Source organism: Homo sapiens, chromosome 14, assembly GCF_000001405.40.
Source record: "Homo sapiens chromosome 14, GRCh38.p14 Primary Assembly".
In the NCBI taxonomy this organism is placed as follows: domain Eukaryota; kingdom Metazoa; phylum Chordata; class Mammalia; order Primates; family Hominidae; genus Homo; species Homo sapiens.
This window is the reverse complement of record NC_000014.9, coordinates 89,701,253-89,722,894: the sequence shown is the minus strand read 5'-3', so window position 1 is coordinate 89,722,894 and position 21,642 is coordinate 89,701,253. Positions and strand designations below refer to the sequence as shown.

Here is a 21,642-nt window from a genome sequence, read left to right as displayed (position 1 = left end):
TATCCCAACTCCAGGCACCCCAGAGCTGGGCTTTCATATTCTGCACCAGTCAGCCATTGGCCAATGGCCCCCTAGGGAGGACCCAAATTTCCAGGTACATCTGTCACCAGTCTTTAGAAGAGAGTCATTAGAAGCAGGCATAGAAGCCAAGGGAAGGGGCCAGTCTTGGTGGCTCACGCCTGTAATGCCAGCACTTTGGGAGGCTGAGGTAGGTGGATCACCTGAGGCCAGGAGTTTGAGACCAGCCTGGCCAACGTGGTGAAACCCCGACTCTACTAAAAATACAAAATTAGCTGGGTGTGGTGGCGCATGCCTGTAATCTCAGCTACTCAGGAGGCTGAGGCAGGAGAATTGCTTGAACCTGAAAGGCGGAGGTTACAGTGAGCCGAGATCGCACCACTGCACTCTAGCCTGGGCAACAGAGCAAGGCTCTGTCTCAAAAAAAAAAAAAAAAAAAAGAGAGAAGCCAAGGGAAGGACACTCAGAAATGGACAAAGGATTTTCAGGAGAGGGCACAGAGCCCCTCAATACAGTGTTCCCCATGCGTATTAAGACCTGTGGGCAGAACAAGGAATAAATGTTTCAGATATGAGTCCAAAATCCAAGGACACGCCCTTCAACTTGCAGACACTGGTTTCCAGTTGAGCTGCTTCTCACATGGGCAACTCTAGCCAGCTGGTAACAGCAGAGATTTGTGTACTTGGTAATGTTTTTAAAAAACAGCTGGGGATTGTCTGGGCAACGCTGGAGGCCAGCTTCTGTGCAATCGCACGGGCCTGCTGAGCTTGTCCCTCTCCTCCTGCTGTCCCCAGAGGGGCAAACAAGCTTCTTTCTTATTCAACCTATGTCTTCCTGAACTCTGTTTCTCTCTGACGTGGCTGGAGAGACTAAGACAGTTCTCATTAAGAAGACTACATAAGCAAGGCCTAAATTATGTGCTACAAATCCTGCAAGAGTGTCATGAAAATGGAGGTTGCTCAGGACTGGAGGAGCCGCGGAAGGCTTTTTATGGGAGATGGGACTTCATTTTGGCCTTGAAAAGCAGCAGAGCTTAGTAGGTAGAAAAGAGAAAGAAGGGCATCCCGGCAGGGGGGTACACATTGAGCAAACGGCACAGAGGTGAGACCTGACGTGCACTTTTATGGCACAAAGTGAAGACTGTCTTAGCTTAAGGGAAGAATCCCAGCCCAGAAGGCTGACAGTCGGTCACCCTGGGTCTGAAATTTGGGTCATGGTCTTAAGCCATCTACCCCTCTGCTGCTTGGTTCAGCTTCTTTCTGATTCTCTGCCTAATTCCCCCCTCAGACTGGCTTTCCATCAAGCTGTGTCGGGCTCCAGACCATCCTCCTAATTAATACATGCCAGGTCCCATGAGTTGACAAGCTTTCAATACAAAGAAATAAATGATATAAGCCAGGATGAAAAGCAGAACAAAATAAAGATAGCAGGGGGTGTTTGGAGTGAACAACATCATGAAACGGGCCAATTTCAGAGACTTTTTGGAAAAGCGGAAACCTGATGTGTTAATTAGGAGTCTATTTCCATAATAAGACTGCTCAGAGGAAGGTAATAGAAGAAACAAAGGGGCAGTGGCAGGGACTGGTCAGGCAGGATGGAAGTTACAGCTTAAGGAGAGGGGAGAGGGCTTATTATTGTCTGTTGTCTTCTGTATCTCTGGGGTCTGCTGGCTCCATAAGACAGGGGGCTGCCCCTTCTTTGTTTTGTAAAGCACCGTGAATAAAGAGCTTCGGGTATAAATAACAATGTGGTTTCTGGCCCCAAGACCCGATTCAACAGGAAGTACTGCAGCCTTACCAGCTCCAGCTGGTGGTAGATTTTGACTTTTCAGGGCATACTCTATTCAGAGGAACTGTCTGCTGCTGAGATGAGCCAATATAGTGGTTCAAAACAAGAGGAAGTGTGGCAAGGAAGTGAGGTGCCAATGCACCCGCAGTGAGGGAAGGGCACTTGTGAAGCCGGAAGCCTTCATCTGGCCTCAAGCAGCTAGGTTTGGGGGATTCGAGCAAGGGTGCTGGAATCAGGTAGATGTGGGATCTAACCCCCAGCTCTGCCGCCTGCTGGCTCTGTGGTTAGGCCTTCCAACTGGTATGCTGAGCTGAGAAAAGACAGTGTATCTTCTCCACTACTGCCAGATTGATTTTTCAAAAGCACAGCTTTGAGCATCTCTTCCTGCTGTTTGGAGATGGCAGTGGCTCCCAACTGCCTAGCAGAAGCCAGTCCACTGTGGGGTTGGCCAAGTTCTGCACTTCAGGGACTTTGACTGAGAGGGTGAACCCTCCTAAACCTCGTGTTCTTCTTCATGAAGCAAGGATGATAATAGGCACTGTATTGTTGGGCCACTGTGAAAGTTAAAGGAGATAATTCACGTAAAGCATGTGGCACATCATAAGTGCCCCACTAACAAGAATCTTCACGACTGGTTAAGAAACTGCTTGAGTGCAAAGCCCCATTCTTCCTTTACCAGATGTGACCTTGGGTACATTTCTTAATTTCCCCATTGTATTAGTCCGTTCTCACATTGCTGCAAAGACACTACCCCAGAATGGGTAATTTATAAAGGAAAGAGGCTTAATTGACTCAAGTTCAGTGTGGCTGGGGAGGCCTCAGGAAACTCACAACCATGGAGGAAGGGGAAGCAAACACGGCAGGAAGGAGAATGAAAGCCAAGCAAAAGGGGTTTCCCCTTATAAAACCATCAGATCTCGTGAGACTTATTCACTACCACGAGAACAGTTGGGGGAAACCACCCCCATGATTCAATTATCTCCCACCAGGTCCCTCCCACCACAAATGGGAATTACGGGAGCTACAATTCAAGATGAGATTTGGATATGGACACAGCGAGACCTTATCACCCATCCTCAAACGCTCACCTGTAAAACAAGGTTGTTGAGAGGATTCGATGAACTGATGTATCTAAAGCATCTTGACCAGTACTTAGTGCTCAATAATTTTAGTTTTATGACATCATCATCATCATTATCACTGCTTCCTCCATCACCATCATGATGATCATTTAGATCTGGGAGAAAAAAAAGAAATAAATTGGGAATATACTTATTGAAATGAGTCCCTGAAGTTGCTCTGGGGGTCTAGGAGTGGAGAAGGGGGCTGAACGCCTCCATCCCTCCTCTCCACAGATACTTCTGGTAGGGCCTGGGGTAGTTGGGACCAGTGAGGGCTTCAGGGACTGGGTGTGCCTGTTGCATCTGGCTGTTTTCTCCTGGCTTCTGGATCTAATGCTGGGCACCTGTTCAACCCAGGCCAACTGGAAGGTGGGGGTCAATCTTGCTGAATGAGACTATGGTGGTTGTGGTTGTTAGATAGAGGACACGTGCTTCCTCTTTCTGCTGTCATGAGAGTCCCTCAGGGAAAGTTCATGACGAGGTGAAATGTTACTCTGGTCTCCTGTTTTTCTTTTTCTTTTTTTTTTTTTTTTGGAGATGGAGTTTTGCTTTTGTCGCCCAGGCTGGAGTGCAATGGCGCAATCTCGGCTCATAGCAACCTCCGCCTCCCGGGTTCAAGCCATTCTCCTGCCTCAGCCTCCGGAGTAGTTGGGATTACAGGCATGTGCCACCACGCCCGGCTAATTTTGTATTTTTAGTAGAGACGGGGTTTCTCCACGTTGGTCAGGCTGGTCTCGAACTCTGGACCTCAGATGATCCGCCCACCTCGGCCTCCCAAAGTGCTGGGATTACAGCATGAGCCACCGCGCCTCGCCTGTCTCCTGTTTTTCTATCTGAAGGTAATGACCACTTCACCCATTTTGTGTGATGTTGGCAAGGCTGCCAACAGTGTGACCCCACCCCATTGCTGCGATATAATGCAACCCAAGCAAAGTGAATCAAAATCATTATAGGGAGTTTGCTTGAGAGCTAAGGGTAGGGGTAGGGGTGGAGGGAAGTGTCCTTCTCCCTTGCCCTAGGATGCAGAGATCTAAAGAACACAGGAGGCTGAAGATGCCAGACAGGGGTCCTTGCAGCCGTGTTGGAGAGATTGGAGAGATTCTGCTTGAGAGTGAAGTCAATCAAAGTCAAAAGACAGAGCCCTCTTATCATTGTTTGAGCCACTTGATACAGCTATGCCTGAAGGTGGTCACCCCCAGACTTCCCAGGTACATGAACCAATTAACTCCATAAAGCTGATTGAGTTGGATTTTTGTCACTTGTACTAATGAGTACAGTGCCTTTATTTGCAACTGTGAGAAATTTGCTTCATATGCTTTAAACTCATTTGTGTTAGGAATAATTAGGTTTTTTAAATTTGTGGAGGGGCTATCTAGGAGTGGGGAATAGAAAACTGAGATGCAACAGAAGGCAGAGAAGAAGCTGATGCTTTGCACTGAAGCCTTGGAAAAGATCAAGGAAGCTGAGAGCTGGTAGCCAAGGGCCATGGAACAGCCAGCTGTGTTGATGGAAGGGAAGAAACAGGGTCACCTGTGGGAGGAGCAGGCAGCACAGGCAAAGACATTAGGCTATAGTGTTTATGGATAAGGACCTATATAACCTTCTATGTGGTGGCACAAATTTGGCAAATCACTACTCAGCTATATTAAGCCAATTCGATAAAAATTACTCAAAGCATCTCAATCAAAAAGGCAATGTCAACTTGGAGTCACACAGCCCTGGGCTTAGGGCCAGCTTTGGGACAATCTAGTTGAGTGACATTAAGAGAATTATTTGACATCTCTGATCCTCAGTTCCATTTCTGCACCATAGGGATAATAATGCCTTCCTCACATAATAGGTGATGATGGTACTGTTTTATTCAAGCTCTTCCACACCTCTGGGACCACAATAGAAAAATGAGAAGCAAGACAACCAACAACTCCATTCCAAAAAGTACAAAGCACATGCAATATGTGCACGAAGAATCAGACATAGAAGGAAAAACAGGGCCAGGCACAGGGGCTCGCACCTGTAATCCCAACACTTTGGGAGGCTGAGGGGGGTGGTTCACTTGAGTCCAGGAGTTCAAAACCAGCCTGGGCAACATAGGGAGACCCCATCTCTACAAAAAAAATTCAAAAATTTAGCTGGACATGGTGGTGCACGCCAGGAGTCCCAGCTACTATGGTAGCTGAGGCGGGAGGATTGCTTGAGCCTGGGAGGTGGAGGCTGCAGTGAGCTGTTATTGCAACTACTGCATTCCAACCTGGGTGACAGAGCAAGACACTGTCCCCTCCCCCCGAAAAAGAAGAAAAAACATTTTAGCATGTGTGTTATCTATGATTTAGAAGCACATTTTTAAAACCATAGGGAAGGCAAATCCTGAAAACTGTTCAGGTAGTAAAAGCTGGAAAATGGAAAAATATCCAGTACTATATATTACTAGTTTTCAATCTATATATATTGTTGGTAATATTTTTATTTAGTTTGCTATCTTTGTGCTTTTATTTTAGTAACAAATGTCTTTAAGTTATTTATGAGTCCTTTTTCCATAGGCATTATGGTTTTTTATCATCTATTAGCTGCTTCAGGGCTCTAGCTAGCAAGTTTTTGTTGCTGTTGTTGTTGTTTTGAGACAGACTCACTCTGTCACCCAGGCTGGAGGGCAGTGGTGTGATCTTGGCTCACTGCAACCTCCGCCTCCTGGGTTCAAGCAATTCTCCTGCCTCAGCCTCCTGAGTAGCTAGGATTACAGGCGTGTGCCACCATGCCTGGCTACTTTTTGGAATTTTTTTTAGTAGAAACAAGGTTTCACCATTTTGGCCAGGCTGGCCTCAAACTCCTGGCCTCAAGTGATCCACCTGTCTTGGCCTCCCAAAGTGCTGGGATTACAGGCGTGAGCCACTGAGCCCAACCTCTAACTAGCAAGTTTGACACAGAGTTGAGGATAGTGGTCCTCTCATTTCCTTTTCAGGACAAACAGCAGGTCTGATGGGGGCTGTGAAGAAGCCACGCAGTTTTGGTGACTAGACTGTCAAGGAAACAGGGTTCTCTAGGTTGGCACTAACAGTGACAGTTGTCTTCTCCTGCATTAGCCAGGGTTTTCCAGAGAAACAGAACCAATGAGATGTATATAGGCCAAGCATGGAGGCTTGCGCCTATAATCCCAGCACTTTATGAGGCTGAGGCAGGCAAGAGGATCACTTGAGTCCTGGAGTTCGAGGTCATCATGGGCAAATAGCAAAACCTACTTTAAAAAAAAAAAGTAAAAAGTGTATAGATGTGAGAGAGATTGATTGATTTTAAGGAGTTAGCCCTTAAAATGACTATGGAGACTGGCAAGTCCAAACTCTGTAGAGTAGGCCAGCAAAGTTGGAGACCCAGGGAGGCACTGCAGTTAGAGTCCAAAGGCCGAGTCTACCGGCTGAATTCCCTCTTCCTCCAGGGAGGTCAGTCTTTTTTTCTATTAAGGCCTTCAACTGACTGGATGAGGCCCACCCACATTATGGAAGGTCATCTGCTTTACTCAAAGTCTACTGATTTCAATATTAAACTGGTCTCGATTTTTTTTTTTTTTTTTTTTGAGACAAGGTTGGCTCTATTGCCCAGGCTGGAGTGTAGTGGCATGATCTCGGCTCACAGCAACCTCCATCTCCTGGGCTCAATCCATTCTCCCACCTCAGCCTCCCAAGTAGCTGGGATTACAGGCACGTACCACCACTCCTGGCTAATTTTTATTTTTTGTTTTTGGTAGACATGGGGATTCACCATGTTGCCCAGGCTGGTCTTGAACTTGCGAGCTCAAGCAATCCACCTGCCTTGGCCTCCCAAAGTGCTAGGACTACAGGTGTGATCTACCACACCTGGCAATTTCAATGTTAATCTTACCTTTAAAAAAATCTTCACTGAAACATCTAGAATTGTTTGACCAAATATCTGAGTACTGTGACATAGCTATGTTAACACCTAAAATTAACAAACATATCTTCACAAATAGTTTTTGGACCATTGACTTCCCAGATGAGGCCCTGGGAGGACCATGAGCAGAGCTACTGCTGAATGTCTGTGAGACACCACTAGTAAACCCCAAACCTTTATATCCCTATGACCTGAGACTCCCTAAAATAACCAGGGCAGGGATTTGCAAGGGTGTTAAAATTCCAAGACAGCAGTTGGGAACTCCGGTCACAGACAGATATGTCTTTATATTAAAATGGTCTCATTTGTATTCACAACCTGGCTAGGCCTGGGACATTTAGGTTACAGTTTCTTGTTAACTAGGTAGCATCCTGAAGATGTGCCTCTCTGTCTTTATTACCCAGTGACTGGATGGGGTGCAGGTAGTTAGTAATAGTTTTATGAGTAAGTCTTAACAAATGTTGTACACCTAGTAGTGGCACAGATATGTGGTGTATTCATTAGAAGTTGAACTGGAAATGGGCACTATGATTTGTGTTAGTTCACTGGTTCATGGACAAGACCTTGACAGCAGCTGCCTGCATTTAACGTAAGAAGTTCCACTTGGGAAATGCAATTCTTGGGGTTTGGTCTCAGCTCTATGTCTGTCCATGGGGCCTTGGGAGAGCCTGTTACCTTCTGTAGGGCTCTCTTTCATGGTCTATAAAATAAGGAGGTTGATCTGTGAGGTTTCTTCCAGCTTTCACATCTACAATTCAGTAAGATCATCTAGACTGTGGCCAAACCCCAGGATATGGTGTGTTGAAGTTGTAAAGGGAGATTCAGGGAAAGGTGCCAACTGACTCCTGTCCCACCTTCTCTACTTGACTCAGAGTAACTGCCTCTTGGAAAGACCAGACCAGGTGAGTAATCCTTTGCCATCTTGGGTGCTATGGTCTGAATGTGTCCTCCCAAAACTCATATGTTGAAATCTAATCAACAACAAGATGGCATTAGAAGGAGGGGCTGTTGGAGGAAGGTTAGATCGTGAGGACAGAGCACTCATGAATGGGATGAGTGCCCTTATCAAAGAGGCCCCAGGAAGCTGCCTTGCCCCCTCCACCACATGAGGCCACAGCAAGAGAGGCCACCTATGAAGTAGAGAGTGAGCTTTCACCAGATGTCAGATCTGCTGGTACCTTGATCCTGGACTTCCAGCCTCCAGAACTGTGAGAAATAAGTTTTTCTTGTTTAAAAGTCACCCCGTTTATGGTATTTTGTTATAGCAGCCTAAATGGACTAAGATACTAGAATCTCATTATCTTTTTTTTTTTTTTTTGAGATGGAGTCTCTCTGTTGCCCAGGCTAGAGTGCAGTGGTACAACTATAGCTCACTGCAGCCTCGAGCTCCTGGACTTAAGCAATCCTCCCACCTGGGCCTCCCAAATAGCTGGGACTACAGGTGCATGCCACCATGCCCAGCTAAGTTTTTACATTTTTTTTAATAGATGTTGTCTTGTTATGTTGCCCAGTCTGGTCTCAAACTCCTGGCCTCTAGTGATCCTCCCATCTCAGCCTTCTGAATCACTGGGATTACAAGTATCAGCCACCACACCAAGCAGATTTCATATCTTTTAATAAACAATTAGTTCTTGTGTTTAAAAATATGTTTTTAAATTACATAAAGTTATAGAATATAAATACACATAAAGAAGGAATTTAAGATTCTATACTCCCAAAACCCAGTGAATCCCTGTGTACTTTTGGCATATATCTTTTTAGCATATATGCAATTACTTTTTGTCAAAAAATGAGATCATGTTGTATGTCACTGGTTCTATATTTTGATCTTTTAGGATTTTAAGACCAGTCTTCCTTCCTTGCTTCTTGGTTATTTTTCTTTTTCAGTCTTCAAGCTCTCCTCACAATGATATCTCATATTCTGGTTTTATTGTAAACACTGTGTAAAAGGGGCAGGGGTTAGCCTCAGTGATTGGAGGAGAAAATTCAGAAGGTCAAAATATAGACAGCTCTTGAGAGGGTCAAAGCAGCAAGGATTTTTTTTTTTTACCTTGGTGAATTTTCCTTCTCTAGTGTGGATTGAATTATGTCCCCCAAAAAGATATGTCCATGTCATAGCCTCTGGTACCTGTGAATGTGACCTCATAAGAAAATATGGTACATATACACCATGGAATACTATGCAGCCATAAAAAGGAAGGAATGAGATCATGTCCTTTGTGGGGACATGGGTGGAGCTGGGAGCCATTATCCTCAGCAAACTAACACAGGAACAGAAAACCAAACACCACATGTTCTCGCTCTTAAGTGGGAGCTAAACAATGAGAACACATGGACACAGAGAGGAGAACAACACACACCAGGGCCTGTCATGGGGTTGGGGGGAGGGAGAACATCAGGATAAATAGCTAATGGATGTGGGGCTTAATACCTAGATGATGGGTTGACAGGTGCAGCAAACTACTGTGGCACATGTTTACCTATGTAACAAACCTGCATGTCCTGCACTTGTACCCCAGAACTTAAAAAAAATTAGGGTCCTTGCAGATGTAATTAAAGATCTTTAAATAAAGTCATCCTGGATTTAGGGTGGACCTAAATTCAATGACTGGGCTCCTTCTAAGAGAAAGGAGAAGGAGATGTGGGACACAGACATGAAGACACAAAGTGGGAGGGCCTGTGATGATGGAGGCAGAGATTAGAGTCATGCTTCTACAAGCCAAAGGATGCAAAGGATTGCTGACAACCACCAGAAGCTAGGAAAGAGGTGTGGAATGGATTCTTCCTCATAGCCACCAGAAGGAACCAATCCTTCCAACACCTTGATTCTGGACTTCTGGCCTCCAGATCTGTAAGAGAATAGGTACCATTTTTTGTAAACCACCAAGCTTATGGCAATGTGTTATGGCAGCCCTAAGAAGCGAACACATCCTCTGCTATGGTCTGAATTTTTGTGTCCCCCCAAAATTCACACTGAAACCTAACCCCCACTGTGATGGTATTAAGAGGTGGGGGAGGTGATTAGGTCATGAGGACACTGCCCTAGTGAATGGGATTAATGCCCTTACAATCAAGGCCTGGAGAGCTTGTTTGTCCCTTCTACCATGTGTGGACACATAGAAGGTGCCATCTATGAGGCATGAGCCCTCACAAGAAACCAGATCTGCTGCTGCCTTGATCTTGGACTTCCCAGCCTCCAGAACTGTGGGCAGTAAATTTCTGTTGTTTATAAATTACCCAGTCTATGGTATCAGTCAGCCCAAACAGACTGAGACACCCCCTTTATCTTATGCTCTCTTTTGGTGTTGTTCTCATTTCTTGAGAGCTTGTTTGGAGGTTCTAGCAGTGGAGCGCAGCTACTCGTATACCCTTGACCGAAGACTGGTCCTCCTCTGTCGGGGATGGTCGTCCTCTTCGACCGAGCGCGCAGCTTCGGGAGGGACGCACATGGAGCGGTGAGGGAGGAAGGGGACACCCGCCTAGCCAGCCAGATCAGCCAAATCAACCCTGGCGATCAATGGGGTGACAGATGTCGCAGCCAGATCGCCCTCACATCCTTGTTCTCATTTCTTGATTTGCCTGGTGAGCCATTGAATGTCTTTTCAGCAAACCTAAGAAGTCAGTCTTGATAAATAGGATCAGGCCTACTTCACTTTACTGAACAAGAATGTCACTGGAGTTTTTCCTAGAATAAGAGCTACATGTTGTACACGAACAGGAAATTCAGCCCCCGGCTCTAAAAATTCAAAACGATAAAGGCAGTTTCAGACTCTAAACAAAATTCTAATAGTGATTTATAGTTTACAAAGAGTTTAGAACAAGGCCCATCAGAACCTTTACAGTAAAAATAAAGCCTTGATTTTATCAACTTCCAGCACCAGTTTTAAAGACAATTCCATCTAGGAGGGTGTTGAGGCCTGATTGAGAACACTCCTAAATTATCAAAGTTACATCCCTTCACTTTGGTGAAACTGTTATTACTGCCAGTAATATCAGGGGAGATGCCAAAGGCAACAGTGTGCACTGCACAGAGAGAATTCTGTTCTAAATAAAAATCAATTTGGTTCATAAACACTATATTTTACAGTTCTTTAGACCTTATCTATTTTTATGTCCTATAGCACTACATGAAGCAAAATCTTACTATATTTACCCTTCCTTTCATTATAATGCCAGCAGAAAAAAAAATGCATGTCACGCTTTCTAAGAAAAGTTGCGAGGGAGGGTGAGAGGCAGCATCACCTTTATGGCCATATTCTCATACAGTGATGGGGGTCTGCAAGCATTGAAAATAGATTGATTTAGAAGCAGTGCTTGAATCCAAGATTTGAGAAGCTGTTTTTCAAATTTGTGCTTTAAATTATAGAAATTAATTTCATGTGATTGAAATTTCCAAAGTTAATTTAATTTTGCTTTCAAAAAATTTCTCTATTGTGCTAACAGCTTTTATTTTACTTAAACTGTCATTCAGTTGGAATGAAATTTACAAACTCTACTAACTGTACTAATTGCAGTTTAGATCCCCCCAAAGGGGAAAAACGAAGGTTACAGGAGAGTAATGAGGACATTCATTAACAGATTTTTTTCCTTTTATGTTTTTAAAATTTCTTCTATGACCCAGGCCCCTGTGCAGGGTACTGAAGCAAACAGTACAGGGTCCCAGCCCTCTAGGAGCTCATGGGCCAGCAGGGAGTTGGACAATGTTAATGAAGTGGGCCCTCAGCAGGGTGTCTTCTGGGACCCACAGGAGCCCTGAGGAGGGCATCTGATATGGTTTGGCTGTATCCCCACCCAAATCTCCTCTTGAATTGTATCTCCCATAATTCCCACATGTTGTGGGAGGGACCCAGTGGGAGAAAATTGAATCATGGGGGCAGTTTCCCCATACGGTTTTCGTGGTTGTGAATAAATCTATGAGATCTGATGGTTTTATAAGGGGAAACCTCTTTCACTTGGCTTTCATTCTCTTCTCTCGTCTGCCTCCATGTGAGACATGCCTTTCGCCTTCCACCATGATTGTGAGGCCTCCGCAGCCACATGGAACTATGAGTCCATTAAACCTCTTTCTTTTGTAAATTGCCCAGTGTCGAGTATGTCTGTAACAGCAGTGTGAAAACAGACTAATGCAGCACCCAACCTCAGCTGAGGGAGTGCTTCAATGGTGCTGACATCTTAGCAGGAAGCCCAAGAGTCAGTCAAGACCCAGGGAGTGGGGAAGAAAGGTGAACAAGACAGAGGGAATCATGTGTGCAAATGCCTAAAGGCTTTGGAAATCATAGAAAATTTGAGAAACTGAAAATGGAGGAGAAGAGAAGAAAGATGGAGGCTGGAGAGTGGGAGAAACCTTTGACAGATGAAGTCAGTGATAGGAGTAGAGGCTGGATGACAAAGGCCAGAAAGGTCAGGCCAAGGACTGTACCTTTTATTTTGAGGAGACCAGGAGAGTCAGCCAAAGCTGTGAACCAGGGCTCGGTGTGACCAGCTTTGTGTGCCACCGTCAGGATGGCAATCAAAGAAAAGAGAAAGGCAAAAGAAAGCTCAAGAAAATGTAGCTCAATTAGCTGCACCTAGTTTTCTTAGAGAGCAGAATGCACCACCTAAAATAGCAGAGTCTGGGAAGCCGAGGCGGGCAGATCACCTAAGGTCAGGAGTTCAACACCAGCCTGGCCAACATGATGAAACCCCATCTCTACTAAAAATATAAAATTAGCCGGGCATGGTGGCAGGCGCCTATAATCCCAGCTACTTGGGAGGCTGAGGCAGGAGAATTGCTTGAATCTGGAGGCAGAGGTTGCAGTGAGCTGAGCTCATGCCATTGCACTCCAGCCTGGGTGACAGAGTGAGACCCTGTCTCAAAAAAATAAAATTGATTAAATAAGTAAATAAAAACAGCAGAGTCCACTTCTGCTAAGTAGAGGATGACCACATAGTTAGTGGAACTCTACCATACATTTTGTGTCTGTGTGAAATAAACAAAGCAGCCTAATCATAAATTTTTTTTTGTTCTTTGTTTTTTGTTTTTTTGAGACAGAGTCTCACTCTGTCACCCAGGTTGGAGTGCAGTGGCACGATCTTGGCTCGCTGCAACCTCCACCTCCCGGGTTTAAGTGATTCTCATGCCTCAGCCTCCTGAATAGCTGGGATTACAGGTGCACACCACCACATCCAGATAATTTTTTGTATTTTCAATAAAGACGGGGTTTCGCCATGTTGGCTAGGTTGGTCTCAAATTCCTGACTTCAGGTGATCCACCCACCTTGGCCTCCCAAAGTGTTGGGATTACAGGCGTGAGCCACTGTGCCCAGCCAAAAATTGTTAATGAATACAATTATTATCCTGACTCAAGTACTTAAAATATGAATGAAATATAAGAAAAGACTTCAACTTCTTCCTTTACTCTAAAACTATCATGTGGCTAAGGAACTTGGCATTGAAAGGAGCCATTTTTCATTTCATATATTTGTAGTAGGCAGGCCTAATGAGGGGTAATGTCTAAACATTTCAAACCAAATTCCCCCAGTTTAGAGTGTTAAGAAACTTGTTGTTTTAAGCAATTTAGACAGATATTTGCATATATAAGCAAGCACATTCTTTGAACCAGCCCATTACATAACCTCACTTATCCCTGCAGGCAATAGACTAGTATGAATGCAGAATTAGATCTATCCAGGACTCTCGGTGTGTGCACATGTACATACACCAGTAAGAAATAGACACATTTGTTAGGGACAATAACTGCCTTCCACTTCACTTACCTCTTATGAATTATTTCTGCTCTCAATTTCAAATCAAGAAAAATGCACCATATTTCCTGACTCATGCTATCAGATAACTACTGGGAGAGCTAATATTGATAACAACTGTACAGAAACATGTGGGAATGAGCCATGTGATTCTGCTACTGTAATATCTAGAAATAGAACATTCTATATGTTCCCTTTTCTTTCCACCCCACATCCTACTCAAGGCGTCACATTCATTCATTCATTCTTCACTAATTCAACCGATTTTTAAAGGCTCCTACTACTTCTGTGTTTTGAATATTAATGGTGTGATTTCATGTCAAACAAGGTACAATCCTGCCCTCTGATAGCTGACAGGTGGCTGAGGAGTTGGAATTTTTAATGGTGCTTCAGAAAATGACAATGTTTATGTGGTTCTGATCTCCATCTCTTCTCAATTCTAACAGGCAACACAGACTCTGAAACTGGGTTGTCCGGGTTTCAGACTGACTGTCCCAGCTCAGCCAGTCTCAATGTCAGACTTTGTCGAGTTCTTTGTTTGCTATAAACCTCGTGTTTCTCATAAAAATGGAAGTCCTGACTGGGTACAATGGCTCATGCCTGTAGTCCCAGCACTTTGGGAGGCTGAGGTGGATGGATCGCTTGAGCTCAGAAGTTTAAGATCAGCCTGGCCAACATGGTGAAACCCTGTCTCTACAAAAAATACAACATTTAGCTGGGTGTGGTGGATCACACCTGTACTCCCGGCTACTTGTGGGGCTGAGGTGGGAGAATCACGTGAGCCCAGGAGGCGGAGGTTGCAGTGAGCAGAGATCGCGCCACTGCAATCCAGGCTGGGTGGCAGAGTGAGAACCTGTCTCAAAAAAAAGAAAGAAAGAAAGAAAGAAATGGAAGTCCTGATAGAACCTACTTAATATGATGGCTATGAGGATTAAATAATATGAAAATTTGGCTGGATGCAGTGACTTATGCCTGTAACCCCAGCACTTTGGGAGGCTGAGGCAGGAGAATTGCTTGAAACCAACCTGGAAAATATAGCTAGACCCATCTCCACAAAACAATTAAAAATTAAAAATATAGCCCAGTGTTTGGTACATGCCTATAGTCCTAGCTACGAGGAAGGTTGGGCAGGAAGATCACTTGAGCCCAGGAGTTTGAGGTTGTAGTACGCTATGATTGTGCACTCTAGCCTGGCCCTACCTTTAAAAAGAGCAAGACCCTATCTTAAAAAAATTTTTTTTAATTAATTAATTAAGATTTTTAAATGACCTAGAACAAGATCTGGCAGATAGTAAGTAAATCATTTCTTGTTATTATTATTATAAATGCCTGGTATTTAGGCCTGGAGTTCCTTTAAAGGAATCATTTACTGTGTACTTCCAATGTGCAGGGCAAGACCCTAGGTGCTGCAGGGAGATCCAAAGTTGGGCATTATATTCTAGCAGGTAGCTAAGACCTGTACACTGATAACCATACACAGGGTGGGTATGCTCAAGCCTAAAGACCAGCTGCAGAAAGCTTGTATTCGCTGTCTATTGCTGTGTAACAAATTGCCACAACTTAGTGGCTTAAAACAACATACAAGTATTATCTTACAGTTTCTGTGGATCACAGATCTGAGCATGATTTAGTTAGATCCTCTGCTTCAGGGTCTCTCATGGGCCACAGTCAAGTTATTGACCAGGGCTGTGTTGTCATTTGAAGGCTCACCCGGAAAAGGATCCTCCCCTTCCCAGCTCATGTTGGCAGATTTCAGTTTCCTAAGAGTTATTGGGCTGAAGGGCACAGTTCCTTGCAGGCTGTTGGCTGGAGGCCTCCTGCATCGTCTTGCCATGTGGGCCTCTGCAGCGTTGTGTTCTGGAGTTGCATGCTTTGGTAAAGCTGCTCGCTATATCAAAGCATGCAACCCAACAACACAATAGAGTGAGTCTAGTAGCAACATGGAAGTCACAGTCTTCTATAACCCAGACACAAAAGGTAATGGTCTACTCAGAATCTTTCCATTGAAACTGTTTCTCTGATGCTCAGAGCTGTCATGCACTGTGCCCTCACCAACCCACACATGGGGATCCACTGTCTTTATGTCTCCCCAGTGGTTTCTTCAGAGATAGATTCTGGGGAGGAGGGGGAAGCCAGAAGCCCAGGTTAGTTTACCATTTTGTCAGTTGCAAGGAGCTCTATGTCAGTTAGCTGTATATTAATCTTAGCTTTTTCAGTAGTTGTGGTACTCTGTCAGGATCCCCAAAAGTTTCCTCCTAATTGGTTCAGTGTACCCATCCCCCAGTTTCTACAGGCTTTACTCCCAAGAGTTCACATCTGCAGTTCTCTTCAGAGGACTCCTCTTGGTACCCTGGAACCTCTTCACGCAGATGCTTCCAGAACCAAAAATGTCTGGGAACTCGCAAACCCCCATGGTGGCCTATATATACTCCTTACTAGTGCAGGAGTATAAAAGCCTAGCCCCCTTGCTTTCAGGTAGGACAAACTCCTGGTTAATTTATTCTCAAAATCTCCTAAGGGGTCAGGTTGAGGCTGGAACTTCACTTTAATTCACAACCTTGCTTGGTGCTATAGACTAAATGTTTGTGTTCCCTGCAAAATTCATATGTTGACGTCCTAGTCCCAAGATGGGAGGTGCTTAGGTTATGAGGGCTCCCCCTTCATGACTAGGATTAGTGCCCTTATAAAAGAAGCCCCAGAGAGCTAGCTAGTCTTTTCCAACATGTGAGGTAATAGTGAGAAGATGGCTGTCTATAAAGCAGCCCTCAGGTTCAGGTGCTGAATCTGCCAGCACCTTGGGGCTGATCTTGGACTTCCCAGTTGATATGGTTTGGCTGTGTCCCCACACAAATCTCATGTTGAATTGTGATCCCCAGGGTTGGAGGTGAGACCTGGTGGGAGGTGACTGGATCACGGAAGTGGGTTTCTAATGGTTTAACACCATCCCCCTAGTGCTGCCTCATGGTGAGAGTTCTCATGAGATCTGGTTGTTTGAAAGTGTGTAGCACCTCCCACTTTTCTCTCTCCTCCTCCTGTTCCCACCGTGTAAGACGTGCTGGCATCCCATTCACCCTTCCACCATGATTGTAAGTTTCCTGAGGCCTTCTGTACAGCCTGTGGAACTGTGAGTCAATTAAGCCTCTTTATAAATTACCCAGTCTCAGGTATTTCTTTATAGCACTGTGAGAATGGACTAATATACCAGTAGCAAATGACTCCACTGGTTGGTCTTGGGTCTGGAAGGTGCACAATTAGAAAATGGGGGCAAGGAGTTTTGGGGGAAGAAGACCTATAGGAGTGGGCACAAAGGGGATGCAGATTCTTGCATCGCACATTAATGCCTACCAGAGAGCGTTCACTGCAGAAGAGGCATTAAGACATGATGACTAATCCAGAAGATATCAGCCAGCTGCTGATACCCTAGTCTTTAGCTGCTACCCTAGTTCTTGCCCAATAGGTTCATGAATGTAGTATCTATGGTGATAGAAATGGAGGCTATGCATGAGTCCAAAAGCATGAACTTCTTCTCACCATAGCTAATGTAGCTACTGCCACTGCTAAATGTCTGATCTGGCCAGGTGCAGTGGCTCACGCCTGTAATCCCAGCACTTTGGGAGGCCAAGGCAGGCAGACTGCTTGAGGCCAGGAGTTTGAGATCAGCCTGGCCAACATGGCAAAACCCTGTCTCTACTAAAAATACAAAAATTAGCCAGGCATGGTGGTGTGTGCCTGTAATCCCAGCTACTCTGAAGCCTGAGGCATGAGGATCACTTAAGCCCAGGAGGCAGAGGTTGCAGTGAGCCAAGATGGCACCACTGTACTCCAGCCTGGGCAACAGAACAAGACAGACTTTTTTTCGTTCCCCCCTCCCCCCCAAAAAATCTGATCTATCAATTACATAGACTGACTCTGAGTGCCCAGTATAGGACCATTCCTTGAGGACACCAACCAGAGACTTAGTGGCAAGTTAATTAAGTAGGACTTCTTTCATCCTGGAAAGAACGGACATCATTTTGTTCTGACTGGGATTGGTACAAATTCTGTGTATGGATTTGCCCTTCCTGCTTGCAGTGCTTTGACAAGATCTAATATAGGACTCAGAATGTCTGATTTACTAAGAGAATCCACAAAGCATTTTTTTCCTCACTTTTTGGTAGAGGAAATATGTTGGTAGTCACATAACTGTGAGATCCACTGGTCCCACAACATATCACACCATTCAGAAACATCTATCCTGATAATATCATAACCATTTTTTGAAGGCATAGCTAGGCACAAACTTAGAAATGATACTGTGTGAGGTTGGGGCATTATGCTTCAGGATGCAGTATGTGACTTAAACCAATAACCATTATACTATATTGCATCTCTAGTGAGTTGAGTGCATGGGTCTGGGAAGCAAAGGGTGGAAATAGGAGTAGCCTGGCTCACCATCACTCTCAGAGAACTTCTTAGGGGAATGTATGCTTCCTGTCCTCACAATTGTAGAGCATTAGGTCTAGAGGTTCTAGTTCCTGGAGGAAAATGCTTTGCACCAGTGGACACAAGAAGAGTCCCACTAAACAAAACTACAGCTACTGTCCTATTTTGGACTCCATGAAGGGGGAAAAAAAAGCAGTTATATAATGGTAGGGGTAACTGACCACTATTATAAGGAAGTAGGGCTGCTGCTACATAATGGGACAGGGAGGAACATTTTTCCACTCAAAAACCATTACCTAATAAAGACATGGTAGTACAGAATTTAGATCCCTCAAAGATGACGTTTTGGGTCACTTCATTGGGCAAGCCACCTACACTGGCAGCAGGGCTAGTTGAGGACCAGGCGCAGTGGCTCATGCCTGTAATCGCAGCACTTTGGGAGTCAGAGGCAGGTGGATCACAAGGTCAGGAGATCGAGACCATCCTGGCCAGCATGGTGAAACCCCATCTCTACTAAAAATACAAAAAAAATTAGCTAGGCGCGGTGGTGCGCGCCTGTAGTCCCAGCTACTTGGGAGGCTGAGGGAGGAAAATCACTTGAACTCAGGAGGCAGAGATTGCAGTGAACCAAGATGGCGCCACTGCACTCCAGCCTGGCAACAGAGTGAGACTCTGTCTCAAAAAAAAAAAAATGGGGGGCTAGTTGAGGTTGAGGAGAATCTAGAATGGATGATAGGGAAGAAAGATTATGGTATAATTTGACTGTGTCTCCACCCAAATCTCATCTTGAATTGTAGTTCCCATAATCTCCAAGTATCACAGGAGGGACCCCGTGGGAGGTAACTGAATCATGGGCGTGGTTTCCCCCATGCTATTCAAGTGATAGTGAGTGAGTTCTCATGAGATCTGATGATTTTATAAGGGGCTTGCCCCTTCACTCAGCTTTCATTCTTCTTCCAGCAGCCATGTGAAGAAGGATGTCTTTGCTTCCCCTTCCACCATGATTGTAAGTTTCCTGAGGCTTCCCCAGCCATGCTGAACTGTGAGTCAATTAAACCTCTTCATAAATTACCCAGTCTCAGGTTAGCACCATGAGAAGGAACTAATACAGATGATGAATATGTTATTGTCTTAGGACCAGCTGCAGCAGCAAGGGCTATCTATGGTCTGTCTTTTTTGAATAAGCTGTGACATGATGAAGTGAAACTGACGTGAGAAGCATGTTGATATCGTTTGGATTTGTGTCCACACCCAAATCCCATGTGGATTTGTAATCCCCAGTGTTGGAGGTGGGGGCCTGGTGGGAGGTAACTGGATTATGGGAATAGATTTCCCCTTTGGTGCTGTTCTCATGAGTGAGTTATGGCAAGATCTGGTTGCTTAAAAGTGTGTAGCATCTCCCCTTCTCTTCCTTGGTCCTGCCCTGGCCATGTAGGATGTACCTGCTTCTCTTTCACTTCCCACCATGATTGAAGGTTTCTTGAGATCTCCCCAGAAGCTAAGCAGAGGCCACCATACTTCCTGTACAGCCTGCAGAGCCATGAGCCAATTAAACCTCTTTTCTCTGTAAATTTTGCAGCCTCAGGTATTTCTTTATAGCAGCCTGAGAACGAACTAATGCACATGTGGATCTAAGTGGTGCAGGGGGTGGACTGTCATGGGTGTTGTTGGTGCTCTGCCCAGATCCCTTCATATCCCCCTTTCCAGTTCATTGCCCCTAGCCCCAGCTTCTAAGTGGTTTACTCCTAAAGGTTCATACCCCTTCCTTCAGAGAACTTCCTTCCCTTAATCTATAGGAGCCACTTCACTGCAGAAGAGGTATTAAGCACCTAGACTCACTTAACGCGTCTAAATTAAGTGCCTAGACTCACCCAGACTCACCTCAGAACCAGAAGTGCTAGGTATTTTTGTCCCCCCACCCTTTCCAGGAAAGACTATAGCCAGTGACTAATTGGTGCAGGGTTATGAAAACCCCAGCTCCCTTGCCTCAAGTTGGGATAAATTCTAATTTATGCTCCAGAACTAGCTGGGGATCTTGCTGGGGCTGGAACTTCACCTTAAATTGCTCCCTTGCTTGGCTGCTTCTTTCCTATTCTGCTTCCCTTTCTAGTTTCTCCTGGAAGCTCTTCCTTAATAAATTGCTTGCACGCAAATCCTTGGCAACCCAAGACAGTTCCCTAGTAGAAAATACACTCTCGAGCTTCAAGTCAGTGACAAGGAAATAAAGAAAAAAAAAAAAAAAAAAAAACACTTAGTGAACAGCTATGGTTTACAAGAAAAAAAAAAAAAAATGTTAAAGCCCAGAATGGAGTACCTACCATGAGTCAATTGTCTTTGGTTTGGATTTTCATTTCCTAAGAATTTGATGATCATAAGTGGTTATTCTGGTAGTACATTACAGAGTGGGACATCTGTAAATTATCAATGATACATCAACATAAACCGTATGCCCCAGATTTTTTGGACAACCTTGATTTCAAGTTTTTAATCCCCTTGTCAGACCATGTTCCAGACAGTGTGTCCTGGCTGGTGTGGGTGTTTGGACAGCAAAGGGGGATGCTGGGCTAGCCAAGAGGCAGCTGAGAGGACGAACTTGAGCATTATAAAAAGGCAGACACTTGAAGTTAATAAGCACAACTGGACTTCAAGTCCTGGCTCCACCCCAACCAGCTGTAGGCCACATTTTATTCCTGTTAAAATGAAGTTCCCAGCTCCCACCTCACAGGATTGAAAATGAGGTGATGTATACAAAACGCTTAGCATTGCTCCTGGATTTCGTGAAGTTCAAGAGATGGTTCCTTTGGAGGGGAAGAAGAGTGGGTGAAGAACCCTCCAGTGGAGTTTGGGGACTTCATTGTCCTAATAGAGCCGGCAGGGGATGGGGGACCAGAGGTCGAGAGCCCACGTTGAAGCGTTGCATTCATCTAAATTTGCTGAGCGCCGTCTCCCTCCCAGGGCGCGGGACTCAATACTTGTACGCCAAGGGGGAAAAGGCCGTCAACTCGACCTGGAAGGGACGGCGCAACGCAGAATGAGCCGCGAGGCCCCGGGCCACCACGTGGCTTCCCGATGGCCTCCCCCGACCCTCCCCCACTCCGGCCCCGCAGGGGAAGTAGGTGAAGGGTGGAAGCCGAGAGACCGCGCCGCGGAGGCGGCCCGCCGCCGGTTTCCTAGCAACGCCCGCCCCGCCCCGCCCCGCTGGCGCGCCGGCGCCGGGAAGCGGGGGGGGGGCGGACCGCCGTTGCCATGGCAGCGCGGCGGCCGCGCCCGACGCCGCCGGCGCCTGCGGGAAACGCGGGCCAGGGGCCCAGAGTGGGCTGCCAGGTGGCGTCCCTGCCTAGCTCCCACTCCGGGATGGACCAGACCTCGCGCCCGGGGGTGTCAGTGGAGAAACCGAGTCGCCCCGAAAGGTGGCAGGGCCGCAAGGCCGGTCGGCCCCACTCACTCCCCCGCCGACTGGGGCGACTGAGAGCTTGGAGACTTTCCAGTTTGTCTGGTGGGGTCTGAGTTGGTCTTCGGGGCCGGAGTAGGCCAAGGGAATTTTTTTGATTTTGGAATCTCTTCGGACCTTTTTTCCACACCTAGTCAAGACTGCACGCGTGTGCACACACGCATACGCACGTCTGCAGCCTGATGTCCCATCCTTTTAC

The 21,642-nt window shown here is 45.7% G+C and overlaps 1 pseudogene, besides 1 other annotated feature; it reads right to left on the bottom strand.

Annotated features, from left to right (window-relative positions):
• On the bottom strand, positions 10,145-10,384 carry RN7SKP255 (RN7SK pseudogene 255; annotated as a pseudogene).
• Positions 21,171-21,230: a silencer, noted in NCBI's record as "silent region_6002". NCBI's record gives its function as "represses an Ori minimal core promoter by ATAC-STARR-seq in GM12878 lymphoblastoid cells {active_cell/tissue: GM12878}" and the evidence as "EXISTENCE:reporter gene assay evidence [ECO:0000049][PMID:35858748]".